The sequence below is a fragment of the Homo sapiens genome, chromosome 2, assembly GCF_000001405.40.
Source record: "Homo sapiens chromosome 2, GRCh38.p14 Primary Assembly".
NCBI lineage: Eukaryota > Metazoa > Chordata > Mammalia > Primates > Hominidae > Homo > Homo sapiens.
In genome coordinates, this window is record NC_000002.12 from 211,736,795 (window position 1) to 211,760,016 (window position 23,222).

The following is a 23,222-nucleotide window of genomic DNA, read 5'->3' on the forward strand; positions in this document are numbered from 1 at the left end:
ACATGGCAGTATATTAAATTGTGGGCCAATACAAAACAACTTTTTGGATCCTCTCCAAGCAATATATTTATAGAAAATAATATAATCTATAGATATTAAAGCTTTTATGCATGATTAATATATTGATAAAAAAATTATAATCTCTCTGCTCAGGACAAAAGTTCGGAAGTCCTCAACATTTACCAAAAAAGTCATGTCGCGATAAAGAGGGTATTACTTATTATATTTGTTGTTACTTACTTTCTTAAAATTCTGAAATTACATATGCAGTACCTATTTTCAGGGAAATATAAGTAACTACAGATATGCAGAATTAAAAACAATTCATTTGTTCTCTTACTCCAGCAGTAACAACCAATGTCAACTTTTGAGTCTCTGTGAATGCTTGACATCCCTATTATGGTTCCACACTAGTATGAGAGTTAAGAGAACACAAAACACACAATTAAAAGTAATTCAAAATAACTCAGATCTTTACAATTTTCAAATCCAGGAAGGGGACACAATCTCCCTTCCTGCCTCCAGAAAATTATCCCATCAATCCACATTTCTCTACATGCAGAAATCTCATATTCTCCTCCTTCAGAACTTTCTCTAGTCCCACTTCTTCTTGTCTCTCCTACCTTATTTCCAGTGTATATACCGAAATGATTCATGAGGTTGGAATGAGATAATACATGTGAAACTGTTAGTACAAAACCGGCACAATGGATAACTACAGGAAGTTCTCTGGAGATGACTTTACATAATTTTGACTTTACATAATAGCTAATTTTCACTTTACGTAATAGCTGTGCCAGATTAGACACATTGCTTAACCTCTCTGTGATTTAGGTTTTCATCTATAAAATAAAAATAACAACTGTACTTACCTCATGAAGCTGTTACAAAGATTTTATGTATTATGGGAAATTATTAATTTGGAATAGTGCCTAACATGCAGTGAACATTATATAAATATTGGCTCTTGGTATTGTTAAGTAATCGATGAATGGTAGTTATTATCTCGCTTTATAGCTTGGTATTTTTAACTAAATATTATATCATTAACTGTCTTTTGTAGAAGCATAAATATGCTTCTGCTGTATTATTTTTTAAAGCTCTATATTATACTATTGTATGAATATACCCTGAATCCCCTTTCTAAGCTATTTGCAATGTTTGTATTTTTTACTATTATAAATACTGCTGTAATATATACTATGGAACATTCGTTTCATGCATATGATAATCTAAGTGTTAAAATAATACATTTCGTGGTTCAAGAAAATGCATATTTTTAAAACTTTGATACAAATGACTAATTAGTCTACATGGTGATTTTTACCTATTTATAATCTACCAAGAATAACTGATACTGTTCCAAGCTCATACTTTCTTTCTTACTAGGAGTTATCTGAATATGTTTTTAATTTATAAAGTTGTATGTCATTGATTATAAGTAATGTCAAGTATTTTTTGCAGATTTCTTGTATAAATGTTCAATTCTTTTTAATTAAAATTATTTTAAAAATACAAAACTATACTTAACTATAATGCAGTTAAAGTAATTTTTCCTTTGTTTTTGTTTTTTTTTTTTTTTTTTTTTTTTTGAGACAGAGTCTTGCTCTGTTGCCCAGGCTGGAGTGAAGTGGCATGATCTCGGCTCACTGCAGCCTCCACCTCCCAGGTTCAAGGGATTCTCCTGCCTCAGCCTCTTGAGTAGCTGGGACTACAGGTGTCTCTGCCACCACACTCAGCTAATTTTTTGTATTTTTAGTAGAGACAGGGTTTCACCATGTTGGCCAGGCTGGTCTTGAACACCTGAACTCAGGTGATCCACCTGCCTTGGCCTCCCAGAGTGCTGCGGTTACAGGCATGAGCCACCACGCCCGGCCCTCTTTTTTTTTTTGAGATGGAGTTTCCTCTGTCGCCCAGACTAGAGTGCAATGGTGTGATCTTGGCTCACTGCAACCTCTGCCTCCTGGGTTCAAGCGATTCTCATGCGTCAGCCTCCCAAATAGCTGAGATTACAGGTGCTCACCACCATACCCGGCTATTTTTTGCATTTTTAGTAGACAGGTCAAACTCCTGACCTCAAGTGATCCACCTGCCTTGGCCTCCTAAAATGCTGGGATTACAGGCATGAACCATTGTGGCTGGCCAGAAAATGATCTTTTTCTTATATTTTATTTTGTATTTGTTATGTCATGTTTAAAAAGGCAGTCATCATTCTGTAATTTTTATCTCTATATTTTTTCCTAGTACTTCCAGTTATATCACATGTTTTTAAATTTTTAATCTATAATTCATCAATCTGTATAGGTCTATCTAAATATAGACTATATATAGTCTATCCTATGCTCTTTAGACTTTTAATGTACTACCCATCTTATGCCTTTTGTTTTATTGTAGGGATCTAACATTATCTTATTCCATAAGTGAGCCATTTATTCATACTCTCTTTGTTAAATAATCTATGCTTTTGTCATTTTTAAAAAATGTCACCTTTGTAAAAACTAAATCACTGTAGACATTTGCCTCCAAATGTCTAACTTTGTTAGATTCCATTTAATCAATACCATTCTGAACCAGTTATACACTGTTTTAATAATTATTACTTTTTAACATTTTAATACTTGATAGGGAAAATGATTCCACAAGGTTATTCTTTTCAAACATCTGGCTATTTATTTATTTATTTATTTTGAGACAGAGTCTCGCTCTGTCACCAGGCTGGAGTGCAGTGGTGTGATCTTGGCTCACCGCAACCTCTGCCTACCAGGTTCAACCGATTCTCCTGCCTCAGTGTCCCGAGTAGCTGGGACTACAGGCACATGCCACCAAGCCCAGCTAATTTTTGTAATTTTGTGTTTTGGCAGAGACAGAGTTTCACCATTTTGACCAGGATGGTCTCGATCTCTTGACCACGTGATCTGCCCGCTTCGGCCTCCCAAAGTGTTGGGATTACAGGCGTGAGCCACTGCGCCCAGCCTCATCTGGCTATTTTATTAAATGTATTTTTAAGATATTCTTTAGAAAAGAAAGCATTGGTAATTGATTAAATATAGTTAAAAATATAGCTTAATTTTAGAAAAACTGACATTTTCAAAGCATGGGCATTTCTATCTTAGAATGCAGTAGTTCCCTATTCATTTAATTTTGTGGTTACATATTGGTGAAATATTGTAGCTTGATTCTTTTAAATTATCAGCAACTAGTTGTTAACATCAGAATCTGTCTTTTTTTCTGTTCCCTCATCCTCTCTGTTTTCTAGTCAATGAAATTACATACTTCTTAAATACATATAACATCCTTATTAAAGAGGAAAATAATTATCCTGTGTGACAGTTACTCAAGAAATACTGAAATCAGAACAAAACTTGTAGGTATTTCCGTGGTCATAATGCTCTATCAGCTCCGTTATAACAAAATTCATGGGTAAAAATATTTTAGATAGACCAAAAATAACTGTCTTCAGTGAGATAGTAATATATACAAATTATTTTTTAAAATATTTTTGTATGTTTTTATAACTCATCATAAATTAATAGAGTGACTATTTCTTTGGAAAGTGCCCATGGTAATGGAGAGATGCAGCCATGATAATATTATAAATTGTTGAGTAATATATAAAATTTATATTGGCTTCAGAAATGAAATCTTTACATGTCTGATATTTAGTGAACTCACATTTATTTTAATATAATGGACAAAAACGTGGCTTGGCACAAGAAAAGTTGACCTGTATCCAGTTACCCCTTCTTATCCTCTTTCATCTCTGTACTGTACCCCTTCCTATCCTCTTTCATCCCTATACTGTTTACTTAATTATTTCTTTTCTTTGTCTTTTTTTTTTTTTTTTTTTTTTTGAGACAGAGTCTCCCTCTGTCGCGGCGTGATCTTGGCTCACTGCAAGCTCCGCTTACAGGGTTTATGCCATTCACGTGCCTCAGCTTCCCGAGTAGCTGGGACTATAGGCGCCCGCCACCACACCCGACTAATTTTTTGTATTTTTAGTGGAGACGGGGTTTCACTGTGTTAGCCAGGATGGTCTCGATCTCCTGACCTGGTGATCCACCTGCCTCAGCCTCCCAAAGTGCTGGGATTACAGGCGTGAGCCACTGCGCCCAGCCTACTTAATTATTTCTTTAACCAAATTGATTAATTTGAAAAAGAATATAATACATTTCAATAATTTTAAGGCAAAACTTTAAGGAGAATATCTTTCTTCATGCTTGCTAAATTCTCAAACCGTTAGAGTGGTATGTAAGTGCTTGCTTTTCCTAGAATAAAATCTCACACTTCTTTCCATTTCTGTAGCCAAAATAGTATGGCTGTCCTATTCATCAGAAGCATGTCACATGTAGGTAATTTTGAAATTTTCTCTTTGATAGTCAAATATAGTTACTCTAATGACAGTCAGCTCTTCTGCTGTGAAGACACAAATAATTCAGAATAAGTTGTCATCACTACCAAAATAACAAAATTATTTTACTGGTAGAACTTTCAGATATATCTGACTGTTCTTCTCAATGTCCTATTAGTAATCCTTCAAATGTGGAGTATTCATTTTCTGATCCCTCTGCTTAGAATAGCTATCTGCACAACACCCCACAGTTTCCATTCTCTCAATCTATATCTGTATCTGTATAATCTATAACTATATATGTAGTTATACACACACACACACACACACACACACACACTAGATGACAGACAGATGATAGAGAGAGAGAGAGAGAAAGATAAGAGAACTTGTTGAAACTGAGGTTCTTAAATTGAGTTAGAGGTGGGACCAAATCTCTAGTTACCTAATGTCCCAGTTTAATATTCTTTTTGATCATTTCCAACATTCCTCACCTTTGTCTTGTATCTAACCCACAGTATGGCCACAGAACAGGAACAATTTTATATATACCTTTATGCCCCTGAAGCCCTTGGCTTGTCATTAAGTAATAGCTCCTGAATCCCATTAAACTGTAATATACAGAGTATTTTAAATATATACATCTCCTGTAGTTAAAATGAAACAACTTGTTCTTTTAAATCTTTGAGAAAAGTCATTAAATTACAACAAATATTATCAACTTATGTCAAAATGAAGAACACATCAGGGAAGATTTTTCTCATTTTCTACCGGTAAATTATTGGGGCACTTTTTGAAATGGTCAGTGTAATCAAGTAATTAGCTCATTGTAATGTTTACTTTAATTTTACAATATCTCCAGAAACCATAAATCCAAAAAAGGAAAAATGGGAATAATTGAAATCAATAAGAAGGCTTATGGATGTGCAAAGTTATTAGTAAAATACAAGGGTTTTAATTAAAGATGTTGGCGTGTACAAAGACTCGCTGTTATCCTGATTGATGGGGCCTGCTGGCTCAGCTCTTTCCCTGTTCCCCATTAGCTCCCACTTGCTTTTCTCTGCTCTAATTGGATATTTACCACATCGGCACCTTCTTTTTAAACAACATTTGTTCCACAAAGAATGTAAATACAATTACACTTTAGACAAATTATATGTGTACGCATGTGTGTGAGTATAATTAGTTTATTATCCAAATAATTTGTCATTTTGCTTTCACATTCTACAGGAAACTGTTGAAAATTTCATGGAGAAAGATACAATTTAATTTTCAACTGCAACATTTCTTGTTGAAATTTTGAGGAACAAAAATATATAATCATTTTGTTAGATTTTATTATTCTATTTCGAAGGAGTTCCAGATATACTTTTGAATAAATAAAAGGACATGTATATATGTATGACATTTTTCTTAAGAATAAATAAAATTCATAAGCCAGGCTAAGGTTTTGTTTTTTTCCCCTTTACTATTAAACTGAAACTTTTAATATATTGCAAATGTTAAAACCAATTTTCTTCATGCCCAAGCATAATAAATTACTGAGGAAAATGCTAAATAATTTCTAAATTTTCCTAGCATATTCTATAATGTCTGTATGGAAAAAGTAAATGACATAAAATGTTGTTTGGAAAAAGGTTTTATTTTGCCAGTGTAGTACTACCCATATTAACAATTATCTACAAGAAAAAAATACAGTGCTTATCTTTATTTTACTATTATTCTATTTTTAATTAAAAAAAAAGATTTTGAGATAACCTGGCAAGTTCTATTACTTATGATAGTCTAGGAAGACTATCATAAGTAAGTAAGAAGCAAGAGGTAAATCCCATCAAAAGAACTTTTCTTTTGGTTAAAGTAATGCATTAGTCAGTTTAATGGAGACATTTAAATTAGACATTTAAATGGAGAGAAGTGTATCTGTTCACTCCAGTGGTTAAAGTATGCATTTCTTCATTAATTTTGCTGTATTTCAACTTCTACAATAAATAATGTTTTTAACCTATTGTCAAACTCACATTTTTCAATCAGCTTATCAGCAAGAAACATCACTTATAAAGCAACTTAGAAAACTAAAGAGTGTATTGAGTGGTTATCAGCCTAGAAAACTTCACAATTATGATGACTTTAATGCAAAATGTATGCAAAGTTCAGGAAAATCAAACTGTAATGTTTGGATATATGCCTTTTTCCCCCTCCTCACTCAAAATGCAGTGACTGAGATAACACCAGGTCTAGCAGGACAAAAGGAATGCGTAAAATGAAACAACCACCCTTTCTGATAATGGGAGACTGGAGAGAGCTGGCCTGATATTGTGCTTAAAGATAAAAAAGGACATGCAGTATCTACTTTAAATGAGATAAGTGTGCTTCATATATCTTGCAGGGACAGAGATAACTTTGTTTCTTTAATCATTATTATTTATTTCTTAAACCTTAGTCTCTCTCATACCTAAAACCTGTAGAGCTCATAGGTTACGACTCAGTTCTTATGAATAGAGAGAGTTGTCATTCTTACCTGTAAGCCTGCTAAATAATACTTCTATAAGCTTCAGACTTCACATAGCAGATAAGTTTGTCTCCCCTGACACGACTACATTAATCCACTAAATCAATTTACTTAAGCTGTGCTGTGGAGCAATGCAGCCACCATTTAACTGAGCTTAAAAGTACTTTCAAGTTTGAGTCACTGCTCCACATGTAACGTAGCTCTCAGTGTCCAATCATAAGTTCTATTTTGACCCTTTGCAACTCTGTGAGAAATTTTCTTGTTAGGTTTATAGGGTCATGGTGCTCTAACATCCAGAAGGATTTAAGGAGAATAAATTCATGATGTTTTAGAAAATCAGACTCATGAGTAACACAGGAAGAGGGGAACACTTGGTTAGATTTTACAAGCACAATCTACTTACATTAATATTTACAACATTCTTTAAGTTGAATGAGTTTGTTTTAAATAATTTATCTAGAAAATATTTCATATGTTAGGAAAACATTTAAAAAAAACAGCTACTAGTTTCACAGTTTATAGCCTGAACATAATTAAATGCTATGGAGGAACAATGACACAATTAAATTATTTAACGTGCAATCAAGCTAACTGTGGCACCCAAAAAAGTACACAAAATAACTTGCAAAATGTTACTAAATTTTACTGAAAATGTACTAACTTTTACTAAAAATATAAAAGATTTTACTGAAATTTCTGTCTGGTAGGTTTGCATAGCCAACTGTTGTTCGTAGTAAGTTGTCGGTTTGTTCACATTCTTCTTCCATTTAGCTAAATCTATTAAAAACAAAAACAAAAACCTTTTCTTCATTTCTTCTGTTTAAAACCTCTGGCCTCCCACAGACCTTCCCTGAAGCTCACTGTTGTTGTGACCGGCTTCTTTGTTTCTCTGTATCTCTATTCAGAGATGTTTTCAATCTGATCACCACTCTTTGCTTCATTTCACCCTAACAAGTCATTCATTTTCATGAACTTGTTCTCCCAGAGCCTGGGCCATTTGTCTTTAGCGTGGCTTCTCACCATTTAGTGACAAAGAGGATAACTCCCAGCACATTTGCTAGGAGACACCTGTGGGAAGATGTCAGCACTGATAAGGTGTAGTCTATGAAATATATGCGTCACTTCAGTTTCCTTAGCTGAGGTGTGGGGCTTTTTAATACTTTTTTCTCTTTTCCCCAATGTATGGAAAGTCTCAAAGAATAATTATCCATAAAAAATAAGGAAATATTTGGTAAATCATGAAGCTGAATACTTCCAGAAAAGCCTTCACTAAAGTGAATTTATTTTAGTCATAGGGAAATAGGTCATTTGTAAATAACATCTGATTGTATCTTTCAGACTCTAAAATGTACTTTTATATAGTCAATCCACAAAAGCAGAATATTGTCAAAAACTTACATAGCATGTTTTCTGATTTTTTAAAAGTTAAGTCAGGGTCAGATATAAGTATATCTTTAGTGGACCTAAGAGTAAATATTATGTTTTAAATAACAGAAGAGTCAGTGGAAATCTAGAGAAAGCCTAAAATAACTGACTTTAAAAAAATGAATCGTGTGTTACAACTGTATGGGGTCTCTGGAGGTCTCATATTGTTATGGAATCTCTCGTGAGAGCTAATTCTCAAAAAATACAACCTAAATTCTAAAATTGTGATCTTACAATAAGTATATTTTTGAGTAGTTCCAAAATACTTTTTGCCTCAGGATGCTGGGCTCTTTAAATATGGATAAGTAATTTCGCTTTCAAGTAGCTCAGACTAAGAGAGAGAGAGGACAGGAATGAATGTCAAGGACAGGCAGCCTCCAACCCCACTCCAGGGTTTTTGCTCTTCCATGTCCCAGCCACCAGGTGTCAGTAGACTTCACAAGGTGGAACTGGCCTACAGGAGTTTGCCTTCCACTTTCATTCATTCAGATTTAAATTGGAATAAGTTTTCTAACAGTATCCTTTCCAGTTTATTATAATATCGGCTATTATTGATTGGGTTTTGGATATATTAAAAATTATTTAAGAGCTTCAACTGCATTGTTGAATTTCATTGTGCCCCCCACCCTCCACCGCCAGAAAAAAAACAAAAACAAAACAAAAAAAACCCTTAGGTAAGTATACTTATCTCCATTTTATAGATATGGTAATGATATTCTGAAAGATGAAGTCATTTTCCCATGATAGAAACTGGAAACAACTGAGATTTGTATCTCTTGGCTAATTTCAAATCCAGCTTCCTCGACTACTAAACTGTGTTACAAAATACTGTATCCAGGAAACAGTTGTCTCTAGATTAAGAACACTTAGGTTAAAATCCAGGTATTAGCTGTGTAAATTTAGCCCTTTAATCATTTCCTCTGCTTATATTTCCTCAATTGTAAAATTGGGTTAATGTAACTGCCCTCTTTAACTCACAGGAATATTGTGAAAATGAATTTTTAAAATGGAAATATTTAATAAAGTTCTATGTTAACTTGTATACTATTCTAACATTTGGCCGGTGTGGTGGCTCACACCTGTAATCCCAGCACTTTGGAAGGCCAAGAAGACAGGATTGCTTGAAGCCAGGAGTTTGAGAACAGTCTGGGCAACAAAGAGACAACCCATCACTATCAACAGAGTGAAACACTGTCTCTAAAGCAAAATAATATAAAATAAAATAAAATTTGTACTTGCTTATTAGGTCCATGAATTTGTTGAGTTTAAATTTGGTAGGCTTTGTGGAGTAAGCACAGTGGCCGTTAAGCCAATTTTGGATTACAGTAAGGATAGCTTCTATGCTGAAAAATTAGCTGAATTAAGTAATTTCACGTCTGATGATTTGATACATGAATTATAACTTGATGATTTTCTTAGTCAAGACTTCCTCCCACCTGTGTTTGGTAGCAAGTGAGAAAACTCCATTCAGGCTGGGTGCACTGGCTCACACCTGTAATCCTAGCACTTTGGGAGGCCGAGGCGAGTGGATCACCTGAGGTCAGGAGTTCAAGACCAGCCTGACCAACATGGCGAAACCCCGTCTCTACTAAAAGTACAAAAAATTAGCCAGGCGTGGTGGCACATGACTGTAATCCCAGCTACTTGTGAGGCTGAGGCAGGAGAATTGCTTGAACCCGGGAGGCGGAGGTTGCACGGAGCCGAGATCGCACCACCGCACTCCAGCCTGGGTGACAGAGGGAGACTGTCTCAAAAAAAAAAAAAAAAAAAACCCTCCATTCAAATATACTAGAAGAACATCGTGTTTCTTATGGAACCTAAGGACAGCAGTGTAGCTGGACCTCACGGAACCCAGAGAACTAGGAGGTAAACATTGTCAAAAATTGTTATTCTTTCTTTCCTCAACTCTCTGTATGGCTGCTTTATTCTTTAGTGACTTTGGGGACTGTTTCTTTCTGCTTCTCAATAACATACGTAGTTCAAAAATGGAAACCTCAATTAGCTTTAACATCTCTTCAGGTTCAAGTTTCTAAGTTATTGTAACCAGCACTTTTGGATCCCAAATCTAAATTCTCTGGAGAGAGAATTTGACTGGCCCAGTCTAGTCAATTATCCACCCATATTACAAGATTTCTCAACCCTCAGTACTATTAACATTTTTATTTGTACTGACTAATGCTTTGTTTGGGTAGGGGTGGAAGAGGCTTTCCTGTGCATTGCAGGGCATCATCTCTGGTCTCTACTTTACCAGTGCCAGAAGATCATCCCTCCCACCCCTCCTCCATGATATGACAACCCAAATTATCAAATGTCTCCTGTGGGGCAGAAATCACTTCTGGTTGATAAACACTGCCCTGTGAAGTAAAGGGTAAAGTGTCCCATAAAACAAACATGGCTACTGGGGCTGACCATCTAGAAGGGGGTATTTTTCGGAGAAGGCCACGTGTCTGCTTGGCAATTATCCTGAAAGTGGTCTATTATAGAAATAAGAGATGTTGGTGGAAATTATAACTTTTGTGAAATTTAGCCAACAGAAGCAGATCTACTAAAATAAATTAAAAGGTTCAGAATTTTTAGCACTGTATAAATTGAAGGAAAATTTCAATCAAAGTTAGGGAAAACCCTAATAATCAATGACATACAACTTTTTTTTTTGCATTCTACCCTAATACAGTGATTGAATTTCACATTTTTTACTCATATATCTCAATCTGAGAATAAATATTCACCATCTATGTATATATAATATATAATATGTATACAGAGAGTCTTTCTTGGTATCTGCAGTAAATTGGTTCCAGGACCCCCATAAATACCAAACTCCATAGATGTTCACTTCCCTTATATGAAATGGCATATAATATTTGAGTATAAACTACACACATCATCCTATATACTTTAAATCATCTCTATATTACTTATAATGCATAATACAATGTAAATGCTACGTAAATAGATGTTATAATATATAGTTTTTTATATGTATTATTTTTAATTGTTTATTATTTTAATTGTTTTTTTCCAAGTATTTTTGATCTGCAGTTGGTTGAATTTGCCATGTGGAAACCAGTGATATGGAGGAACGACTGTAAAATCGATACATATAATCTATACACTGCATTTTGTAATCTGTAAAAATACACATAAAATAAGACACAGATGAAAATAATAATTAAAGTAATTATTTTAATTGTAATAGTATTATTAATTTTAATTAATAGTGTTATTGAATACACTGTATGAGACTTCTGGTATAGAAAAGATGGCAGAGACCTTTTTCTTCCCACCTGTTTAATTCAACTGTAAACCCTGAAAGTAACGCAAGAGGCAACCAAAGGAGAAATCTGAAAGGTGGTGGGAGGAAGTAATTTTGTTCTGGGATCTAGCACTGGAGGAACAACACAACAGCAGGGTGTCTTAAGTGCCCCTACTCAACAGAAGAGGGATCCACCCCAGTGTTTCCCAAATCTAAGCTCCTTCCTCCCTCAGATCTATGGTGAGTCCCTCAACAGTACTGGCTGAACCCCATGGGCCTGAGACAGGGTGTGGTTGGGCCCACCAGAGTGGCTCAGCCACAACAAGGAGCTTTTGCAGAAGCCTCTTTGACCCCTCTGTAAAATAAATAAGTGAATAAATAAAATAAGTAGGTGAGTGAGTAAAAACTCATTTTTAATTTGATACCTCGGTAGTTTTTTTCTGCCATGAAATGACCAGTGGATATCTAGCACTTTCACAGTCTCTTTGGTTACTTTCCACTTCATCACAAACTGTTGCAGATTTTTCCTTATTTTAGAGAACTTGACTTCCTGCAAATGGTCACATGCGTGTCAGACCAGCACTGGGATGCAACTTAGCCTCCAATTCTTTGCTATTAAAAGAATATCTCCAAATATTGTGAATGAATTTCACACAATAATCTCATCTTATTTAAAAGCCTGTTTAAGATTCTTGTCAATACATTCCTGCCATAAAACATTGTTTCTATTAAATAAGTTAATTTAAATCTACACTGACTATGTTTCATCTAACCCTTTGACAAAGATCCAAAAATTCCCTAATGAACTACTTCGTCCAAAGAATAGGGAGGGAAATAGGCATTTATGTACATTGCTCTCGGTAGAACTAATTGATCCAACCTCTATAGAAAATAAGATCTCCATTTTGCTGTTCTCTACCCATTTCCAAATCCACATGTCTATGACCCTACAAATTCACCTCTAGAAATTAATACTACAAATAATTCATACACATGCATGGGTTGAAGAAATCAAGCTGTAGTACAACATGCAAAACATGCTAATATTTGAATGAAAAATGGGGTGAGTGCTTATATACATACTTCCTTGGGTATGCATAAATTATTTTTGGAAAAATACACCAAAATAGCCAATAATATTTGTTGCCTATGGAGAGCTGAGGGAAAAAGGTGGGACCCACGTGGGAAGATACTATTTTACCTTATAATCTTTTCCATTTCATGAATTTTGGATATGAGAGTGCCCATGAATTAAAATTAATAAATTTAAGAAATCATTTATCATTGGAAATATTTTTCCTATATTTTTATTCTTTGGTGGTTCACAATAAAATAATCCTTTTATATCTCTTTATTAAAACAGAATCTAGCAAATAGAACTAGACAAATGTGAACTGAGACAAATTAGAAATCTGTAAAGTTTCATCTAAGAGTGTAATATTTGTATGTTTGAATCTTTAATATTTTCTGTATCATCTATGATAACAAAGAAATATATTTCAACTTGTCACTATATTTTTTCCATATCATATTTCAGTCATTTTTATTGCAGCAGGAAGAATGAGTGTTTACCACTTGTATAGGACATTTTATTTTTCTTTTTTAAAGAAATCATTTATTCTTAAGTTTCATGAAAGTTCAGTGCTGGTTTGAGTACTAAACAACATTAAGAATGCTGAAAAAAAAATAGCTATTTGTCTTTATATTTAGTATGCTTTGTTACTATATGTCTTAGCAATGATGATAGCTTCATATTTTCTTTAGCTAATGACTAATCCAAGAAACAGTATAAACTAAGGGCAATAGTCATTGTCAAAAATAGTGACTATTTCCATAATTCATAAAGTTTTTATCCCTGTGCCTGGAACAGTGCCTGGAAAAATACAGTGGGTACATAGTACCCTTTCTTTTTTCTTTCCTCTCCTTTTGTAATGAATGAATAGTGAAATAACTAGTTAATGAAAGGACTGAGAGACCCAGTTAACCTGAAATTGAGTTACTATTTTGTACACATTGGATTTCCCACTTCTAGTGATGTAAAAACTCTAAAGTTATAGCTAATATCACCATAGCTGTGCTGTTGAGATCATTAACCTAGAAACCACGAAGAAACCTAAGAATCAATTATATATTAATTTTCATTTGAAAGCAATGAAAATCGGGTAGTTTTCTTGGCCCAAAGCAAATCAACCACAAGGAGGTGATAGCTCATTTCATGTTTTAGATGACCAGAGGCATGAAATGGACCAATCATTAAAATTCCTTGACCACATCAAACCTGTGTGCTCTCACTGATGAACACTTACAAGTCTGGCAATGATTTTCTGTGGGTCCCCAGCAACGGCCAGTACAGGACTTATGGCAACGTCCACCTGCAGAACACGAAAAGGGAAAAAGGACATGCACGTTATAATCTTTCACTCCTTGACTAGGAGTAACTCCTCAAAGGAAATACTCCTGCTCCTTTATGAGGATTTTTATGTCATACTAGAGCTGAAACATAGCCCATAAAATGCCCACTTAAGTAGGAAAACCTGAATGTCAAACATATGTGAAACTAAAGTACAACCTCCTGGTATTCAAATCCTCTTATCATTTTTTAGGAAAATAAAATAAATGAATTTGTGAATTTTCTCAGGAAATCAAAAGCAAATGATTATAGTTAATAAGTTTCACTTTCACTGTTCAGCATTATTATTCTATTGATCTATTCTACTTGATATAATTTCCAGAGATCACACCTTACTGAGAGCAACATATATTAAAAAGTAAAGCAACAGTTAAAAATAAGTGGAAATCTATGAGAACAAGAATATATTTTTACAAACACATGAAAAATCATTAGAATAAATGGTAAAATCATGCATTTAAGCTATACTTTTGAAAGCTTAATTTCAATTATTTTAATATATACTTCTAAAATGTTTATTAACATTATTTGCATTTTCAACTCTAAGCCTTAATCTCCTATAGTGGCATCTTCTTCTACCATAGGTATTTGCCTCAACAAACGTAGTTGTCCCACAGAGAAATTCCCATCGGGACTGAAAATAAAGAATATTAGCTGGAAGAAGTCATATAAAAACGACTTCCTTTGAATCTTATTTCTGAATTTCATAGATTCACTCTAAATTTCTGTGGGTACATGACACATTTTTAGAATAAAATATAGATGTTAAAAATCTATTAAAGCTTAAAACTTTTCCATAAACAGAAATGTTTTCTATGACATTTCCTTAAATGCTTCTTATTAAACATTGTCAATTGTTTAATATTAATTGTTAATAGGATTCTCCCATTTAAAGTGTTTAACAACGTTAACTATATTATAAATATCATCAAATAACATCTCGTCAGATGCTCCCATCTTTCCTTGATTCAAGTTTTTAATTCCTCAACCAGAAAGTTCTTACAACCTGGAGTGTTTTCCCGCCTCCAGTGAAACTGCCAAAGTGAGCCTATTCTGTTAAATGAGTACACGGTTAAGATGCAGATTCAAAAGACACTTTCTCTGGCTGGATCTCAGACCATTCAGATTGTCTACCTTTGAGAAAGTAAACTGTACTATTTCCAAGTTAATAAAATACTTAGGTTCAATTCCAGTCATCTTAAAAGTACGGGGATCTTTGCTACAACAGAGTTTATTTAAAGCAATTCTATTTGTGAAGTATTGCCGCTGACATCACCAGTGTATAATATCCTGTCACTCTGCCATCTGTTTATTTAGAGCCAAACACATTATAACAACATAATGCAAGCTCATTGTAGCTGACAGGAAAAGGACTCCATCTGGCCTGAACAATATAACTTTAATCAGTGATAATGATAATTATTATTAAAAACTTACAGGAGTTCTTTTGTACAAAGCTAATAAATCTAAATTGATTTATACTAGCGGAAATTAGAAAGGACTGTGAGACAAAATAGGAAGCAGTGAAAACTTTTTGGAGTACAAACTTTTTTATGAGAAAGTAGCTAATGTTAATGTGTTTTCTTAGATTTGGTATAATCCTCTAAATTGATCCATTAAGTGGTCTGTTAATTGAAGATAGTTGAAGCATAAGATAATCTACCATTTAATCTATGATTTATTTAATTATGTTTGGGGCTTGTAAAATATTTGGCCTTATTCTTTGTGGCCAGAATACTACCTAACTGGAAAAAAAAAAAAAAGAAAAGAAAAGATAAAAGCAAATAGAAGAGAAGAAAAGAAAAAGTAAAGAAAGAGGAAGGAAGGAAGGAACAAGGAAAGGAAGGAGCTAAGTAACAAAATTCATATTAGACATTTTTATATTCTCAATGTTTTTCTCTTACTCGATTAATTTTTTAACTTCTTATTCTTGAAATTCCAATTTGCCACCCAGACATCTGCTCCCAGATTCAATATAAAAAGGCATGTTGCTAGAAATACTGTTGACGGTTCTTGACAAGGTATCAGGGCAAGGCCCACCTATTTGAAAATGTGATATAGTACCCACACACACAAAAAACAAGTTTAAATAATTTAACCTTGACTGTCTACTCGATATTATGAGATTTTGTTGGTAGTTTCCATTTCCACTTGACCTACACATTTCAAAATTCTATTATGACAAATGCACTAGAGGATCTAGAATTGACTGTACTCCCATAAATCGCTGTTCAGCCAAGACTACCCTTATTTAACTTTCTCTCTGGAGCCTTGACACTTTTGGAATCTGTCCTAGTACTCAGTTCAGCTTTAGTTTTACTCTTCAAAATGGTGCAAGACATGGCACTTGTGTTATCACTGGATGTTGCCAATTAGCAATTAAGTAAATGCTACAATATCTGACCAAAATATCTGATTAGAGATATTTATGAATCAATGCACTTACTACATTTTTATGCCTGTAACCTTAGTTTGATTCTTGTAGATAATTGGGAAGTACAGAGAGAGTTCCCATAGTAATTATCTGCCTAGCATAGAAAAAAAAAAACAAAATTTCCTATAAGCATTCCCTCCTACATCCTTCCAACCACGTATCCCTGATTATTTCATAAGTACCTTCTTCATTTTGTGTATTAAGCATGATGTTAAGCAATGGACATAAAATATTAAACTGAAACAGAGAAGTTTATCACCTTCTTAGAGTTTAGAATTAATTCAGGAAAAGAGTTTTGACTACTCTGTAGCTAATGTTCACCCTCTATGAGTTTAAGGGAAAAAGTCAGTAAATCTAAATTTTTAACAGCCTCCTAGCCCAGGAAAGAAGAGTTGGATGAAAGCAGGTGGAGCTAGATAATTCCCAATCTAATTCCCAGGGGCTTGGAAGTCAGCTACATTCCTTAAACGATGACACGTCCATGTGACATCTAAAAGGAGATCACCCTAGACCATTTCAGTGAAGAATGTTAAGCACAGGCTTCGATATGTCCCTTGTTTATATATATATATTTAATATATATATATTATACATATATTTTAATGATAACCTACTGTCTTACTGGGACTTTCTTCCTGCCCTCTCTTCTCAGGCATGCACTAACCTCAAAAGTCCTGATTTTTTTTTTTTTTTTTTTTTGAGACGGAGTCTCGCTCTGTCGCCCAGGCTGGAGTGCAGTGGCGCAACCTCAGCTCACTGCAAGCTCCGCCTCCTGGGTTCACGCCATTCTCCTGCCTCAGCCTCCCGAGTAGCTGGGACTACAGGCGCCTGCCACCACGCCCGGCTAATTTTTTTTCGTATTTTTAGTAGAGACGGGGTTTCACTGTGTTAGCCAGGATGGTCTCGATCTCCTGACCTCGTGATCTGCCTGCCTCGGCCTCCCAAAGTGCTGGGATTACAGGCGTAAGCCACCGCGCCTGGCCAAAAGTCCTGATTTCATCTGAAAAAGAGATCTTATGTGTCTGTCATATTCAGTGTGAATTAGTTTTATAAACTACTTCTCCCCAGAGTGTGTTTTGTAAATGAGGGCCACGAAGAGAGGAATTAGTCAGATTCTAGAATACGTAAATGAGAGCAGTGTTTAGGGGTTTTGCCAATGCTGTCCAAATCTTCCCACTTCCATGTCTCAACCTGGTACGTGATTCTTCCCATTGATTATTGCAATAATCCCTTTTTTTTTTTTGAGACAGAGTCTCGCTCTGTTGCACAGGCTGGAGTGCAGTGGCGCAATCTTGGCTCACTGCAACCTCTGCCTCCCAGGTTCAAGCAATTCTCTGCCTCAGCCTCCCGAGTAGCTGGGATTACAGGTGCCTGCCATACGCCCAGCTAGTTTTTGTATTTTTTGTATTTTTAGTAGGGACGGGGTTTCACCATCTTGGCCAGGCTGGTCTTGAACTCCCGACCTCATGATCCACCCATCTAGGCCTACCAAAGTGTTGGGATTACAGGCATGAGCCACTGTGCCCGAGCTTTTTTTTTTTGAGACAGAGTTTTGCTCTTGTTCCCCAGGCTGGAGTGCAATGGCACAATTTCGGCTCACTGCAACCTCCACCTCCCAGGTTCAAGCGATTCTCCTGCCTTAGCCTCCCAGCTAGCTGGGATTATAGAAATGCACCACCACACTGGCTAATTTTTGTGTTTTTTAGTAGAGACGGGGTTTCACCCTGTTGGCCAGGCTGGTCTTGAACTCCTGACCTCAGGTGATCTGCCTGTCTTGGCCTCCCAAAGTGCTGGGATTACAGGTGTGAGCCACTGCGCCCGGCCTGCTATAATTCTTTTGAAGCTATGTGAGAAAATAGTCCACTTCTTTACTAAAAACGAAGAATCTGACATTTCCATGTAGCTCGGTGATAGGAGAATTAGTCAAATTAGTACGTCTTGTTATTTTGGCTCAAAGAGATGAAATAAGAAACAAACCAACATTTTAAACAACCATTTCAGTTACTTTATTAACTATTTTTAAATGTCTTAGAGTAAGTGCTAAGCCTAGTGCAGCAGCACATGTCTGTAATCCCAGCACTTTGGGAGGCCAAGGTGGGCTGACTGCTTGAGCCCAAGAGTTCCAAACCAGCTTGGGCAACATGGCAAAACCCGGCCTCTACAAAAAATGCAAAAATCGGTCGGGCTTGTTGGCGCACGCCTGCTGTCCCAGCTACTCTGGAGGTTGAGGTGGGAGGATCACTGGAACCTGGGAGGCGAAGGTTGCAGTGAGCCATGATTGCTCCACTGCACTCCAGCCTGGGCGACGGATCAGACCCTGTCTCAAAAAATAAAATAAAATAAATGAATAAATAAAATAAAAATAAGTTCTGGTTACTCCCCATCACCACTATTTTAATTCACAAGCAATCCCTCTGCTTTCACAATGCATTATTCATCATGGAAGCTGGCAAACGTGACTAAGTTCATCTTTTATGCTTGTCCAGCGGATGTTACTAAAAATGTAGCCTTTGCATTCCTTTGTAGGAACTAGAGTCCATGAACTGCATTTATGTTTTTAAGAGTCACAAATTCATCTAGAAGTTGTGCTTATTTGTGTGACCACCTGCATGTGGGATTCACTGTCTACCTCTGTAATGCTTTCTGCAAGTAATATGCCAGGACAGTTGAAGAGTTACAAAATATGAAGTCATTGGCAACTATAAAAGATCATATCCTCAAACTGCCTCTAGCTAAAGGCAACGCAGTTACATCCCTGGATTTTTCTTTTACTCCTTTTAAAAACTGGCAGGTTTGACCTCTTAAAACTACTTTTACTAGAGAAAGAAGTGAGAGAATAATACCTTTTTTATGACCATATAATTCAAAATAGGAAAGTAGAACATTGATTGAAAGTCTATGCTAAACCAGTCCCTATTCTTGGTGTGTGTGTGGGTTCAGGGAGGGGGGATAAAAAGACGAATGTCACTACCCTGTCCTCAAGGAGGTTTTAGGGTCCAGGAAATAGGCAGAGGAATAGGCAAGTAACTATTATGACCATAATATTTGCGAAAATATAGGTATGTATAAAGTGGAGAGAAAGGATTGCAGAAGGCTCTGCAGTTTAGTTTTGCTTGAACAATCTAGTTTGTCCAGCAGTAAAGGGAAGGGAAGGAGAATTTCAGGCTGAATAGCTAGCCTAAGCAATAACACAGAGGCATGGATGAGCACAACTGTTTGGGGCCATAATGAGTAGTTTAGGGTTTTTTGAGCATAGTTTGCATGAGTAATAGCAGCTGGAGCGTGAGCTTACAAAGTATCACGAAAGCCTTCTAAACAGTTTGGAGTTTACTCTGTGTGTGTATTATGGAGTTTAATGGGTATTATGGAGTTGGCCAAGGTCCTTGAACATTAAAATGATATAGTTTGACCTGTAGGGTAGAAAATGGTTTTGAGTCATGTTTCCCAAAAGTTAGTTTTGACACTTTAGTAGCTTGTGCAAGATGCTGATTTTATAGTCTGGTGAGGTACAGGAATCCCTAGTTTTAAAAAGCACTTCCAGAGATTCTGAGGTTGACGGTTCCAAAATGACAAAAGTATATATAAGATAATGGCTTGGCATATAATTCCAAACTGTTAGTATCATAGACATATTTTGAGACAATGCTTTAGTATTAGAGCTGATCAGATGCTTGGTAACCAAACTTTCAGACAAGCAGTGTAAAAATCTAGCAGTCTCTCATGTCTTAGAGTTTATTCTTTGATTTGTGGACACATTCCCATCAAATTGCATCTTTCTCCAGCAGTACTAAAATATACATATAGCTTTGTTTTTCACATTTAACTTACTGTAAACCACTCATATAATAGTAAAGTCTCAATATGATTTGAGCAAATGCTACATCAGTAGGAATTAATGGCATTACCATGATGTGGAATTGCTCTTCTTTATGAGATGTTAATACTTCCACTTGTTCTTATCTGACAATTCTCATTGTCATCTGTTTATTTGTATTCACTCTTCTGTTATGTGAGTTGACTTTACTTTTTATTCCAGTCTCAATTCAATTTTCCTATCCTGCCTCTTAATTTGAAAACTAAGTATAAAATGGAAACTTTAACTTTCATACATCTTGATACAAAAAGATGGGCAGGTATTCTTCCTTGCTAAAAAATATGAAGTTAAAAATGAAACTAAAAACATTTATCGTTGGGATTTTTCATCTTACAGTATATTACATCAGGAGTTATGAGGTCAAAATATATTAGGCAATTACTGTACAGGAAAAACAAATAAGTACGGTTAACCTTGCTAAACTTGATGTTTTTGTAAGCATCATCATGATATTCATTCAAGCAATTTATAGTCAAAATTTTAGAACAGCATATATACTCATGTGATCAAGATTAATTTCAAACAGAAGTGTAAAATGCACAGAAGTGTCTGCAGCGCTTCCATCTACCCCTCCCTCAGGGGCTCAACTCCCTCCTGCTAATTTGTGACTGCCAGTGCACAAAGTATCTTCTCCAGCATCACCTTAGACAGGATATCAGACAGATAGCTAATGGACAGGCCAGTTAATCTGGCACAAAAGTTGTGCAAAGGCTTGAAGATTCTAAAGTTACTTTGCAAATTTGTATTTTTCCTGAGGCCTTCTGGAAACATAGATCAATTATGAGGGGACATGACAGTGGTAGAAACCACAGCTACAAATAAAAGGCTGGGCAGGCTGGGGTGGGTAGACCTATGAGAGTGCCATTTTTCAAAATCTCTTAACTCATAAATGGAAGCAACCAGCTACTCCATTTGCAGGCTGAATATAGAACTGTTTCTACATATAGATTTAAGGAGAACAGATAGAGCAACACCATTTTACAGTTAAAAGAAAAATTGATGATAATCCATTTAGATCTAAGATTGTCGATTATCACTTACACGTACAAGCTCATGTGATTGTAAGAAGGACTAACAGTTAGAAATAACCTAATACATATTATGCCAAAAATGAAATAAACATGAACATACTAAATGCAATCTATTTCCCACCGAATGGAAAGATCTGCTCAATGCTGTCTATGATATTACTGTTCTGTATATTCTATGCTCCTTCCAACATGCCTTCAGAATGCTTTAGGCTACTGAAACCAATGGAAATGAACTTCAAAGAAAATCACATTAAAAGGTCTTAATGCTTTTTGGAAAAGTCATATGTTAATAACAAAATGTCTCAAAATAATAAAACATGAAATTTTTCCTAAAAGACTAAAAGCTTTTATATATGATACTGTCATATATTTGTTCCAAACCAGGCACTTTTAAAGCATTAATTATCACTGTTTATAGCTGCTAGCACAAAGTAGAATACAGAAATTCCACCTACTGTGGAACAGAATTAGTTCCAATCAATGTCAAATGTATTTCTGAGCATATAAATAAGGGGTCTGAACTAACTGAAAAACCTTACCTGAAAACATAAAGAATATACTGAGATGTGTCAGCTTTTTGAAACCAATAACAACAATAATAATGAGCACTTACTATGAGCTTGCCAGAGCCACCAAGGGTGTCCAGAAGCATCTTTCAGATGTACTCAATCTACATGATAACCCTTGGAGGTGTGCAGTGCACAACCTGTTCAGCTATATGTAGTGGTGGGCCTTCCAAGGATGTTCTAAGCATTTTGGATATATTAACTCATTTAATCCTCATATAACCTGAATAGTCTGGCACTCTCCAAAATTTGTATGTCCAGTCTAGACTCTGTGATATGCAAACTTATACTTCCAACTGCTTACGAACCATCTCCACTTGTGCAATTAGCAGGCACTTGAAAATACACATGTTCAAAACTAAATCCATACTCTTCCCACTCCAATCATACAAATTATTCCTGTACAGTCTTCCCCATCTCAGTCAATAGCAGCTCAATTCTTTCAGAAGCTTCTGCCAAAAACTTTGGAGTCATCCTCAGCTCTGTTTTCTTTCGTCTTACAGCCCAGATCCAAATTCATGAACATATCTCGTTGTCTCTAACTTCAAAATCTGTCTAGTATCCAATCATTTCTCACCACCTGCACCATTATCATTGTAATACAAACCACTATCATCTATTGCTTGGATTAATGCAATAACCTCTTATCCGGTGTCCTAGCTTCCACCCTGGCCCCTTTACAATCTCTTCTCAATATATTAGCCAGAGCGATCTTTTTAGTCAGACCATGTCAAATCTCCTAAGTTGCCATGTGCCTCATAGTACATGCCAAAGTCCTTACCACAGTCTTCAAGGACCTACAACACGTAGCCCTCTCCTCCCTGCCTCAGTATTTTCCTCCGGGCTTACTCCTCTCACTGTCATCTCCTGCTGTTCCTAGGACATACAAGGTTCACTCCCACTTAGGGTTCTTCTGTTTCCTCTTCCTCTCCTCCTCTAAGAGCCTATAAAGCAGGTTTACCCACTAACTTGCTCTTGTTAGATGTCACCTCTCCATGACTCCCCTGACCCACTACATTTAAATAGCAAACATTCCAGATAGATTTACTAGATTTTATTTCTAATAGATGTTCAAATTGGAAATGCTGTATAATGCATAAAAACATGAAAGAAGAAAAAAATTCATAACCTTGAATTTTGGTGTTTTTCATTTTCTAGAGTGTGTGTGTGTGTGTGTGTGTGTGTGTGTGTGTTGCATTTTAACACGATGTAATACTTTATACAGTTTTGTCATCTGCTATTTTCAGTTTACATTTTTATCCTAAACATTTTGGATGATATTAAATAAATATAATTTTATTTCTTTGGTAGATTTACCTTCCGTCATATAGACATGCCAAAATTCAATTAACTATTTTGCCTTATGAGA

At 35.5% G+C, this 23,222-nt stretch overlaps 1 protein-coding gene across 10 annotated transcripts in view; it reads right to left on the reverse strand.

Annotated features, from left to right (window-relative positions):
- Nucleotides 1–23,222, reverse strand: part of ERBB4 (erb-b2 receptor tyrosine kinase 4) — a 1,163,086-nt gene that overhangs the window by 361,078 nt on the left and 778,786 nt on the right. For all 10 annotated transcript variants that reach the window (NM_001042599.2, NM_005235.3, NM_001439006.1 and 7 more), the window contains one exon: nt 13,845–13,910. In NM_001042599.2, coding sequence (NP_001036064.1) covers nt 13,845–13,910 — 66 coding nt within the window. The remainder of the gene's footprint in view (nt 1–13,844; nt 13,911–23,222) is intronic.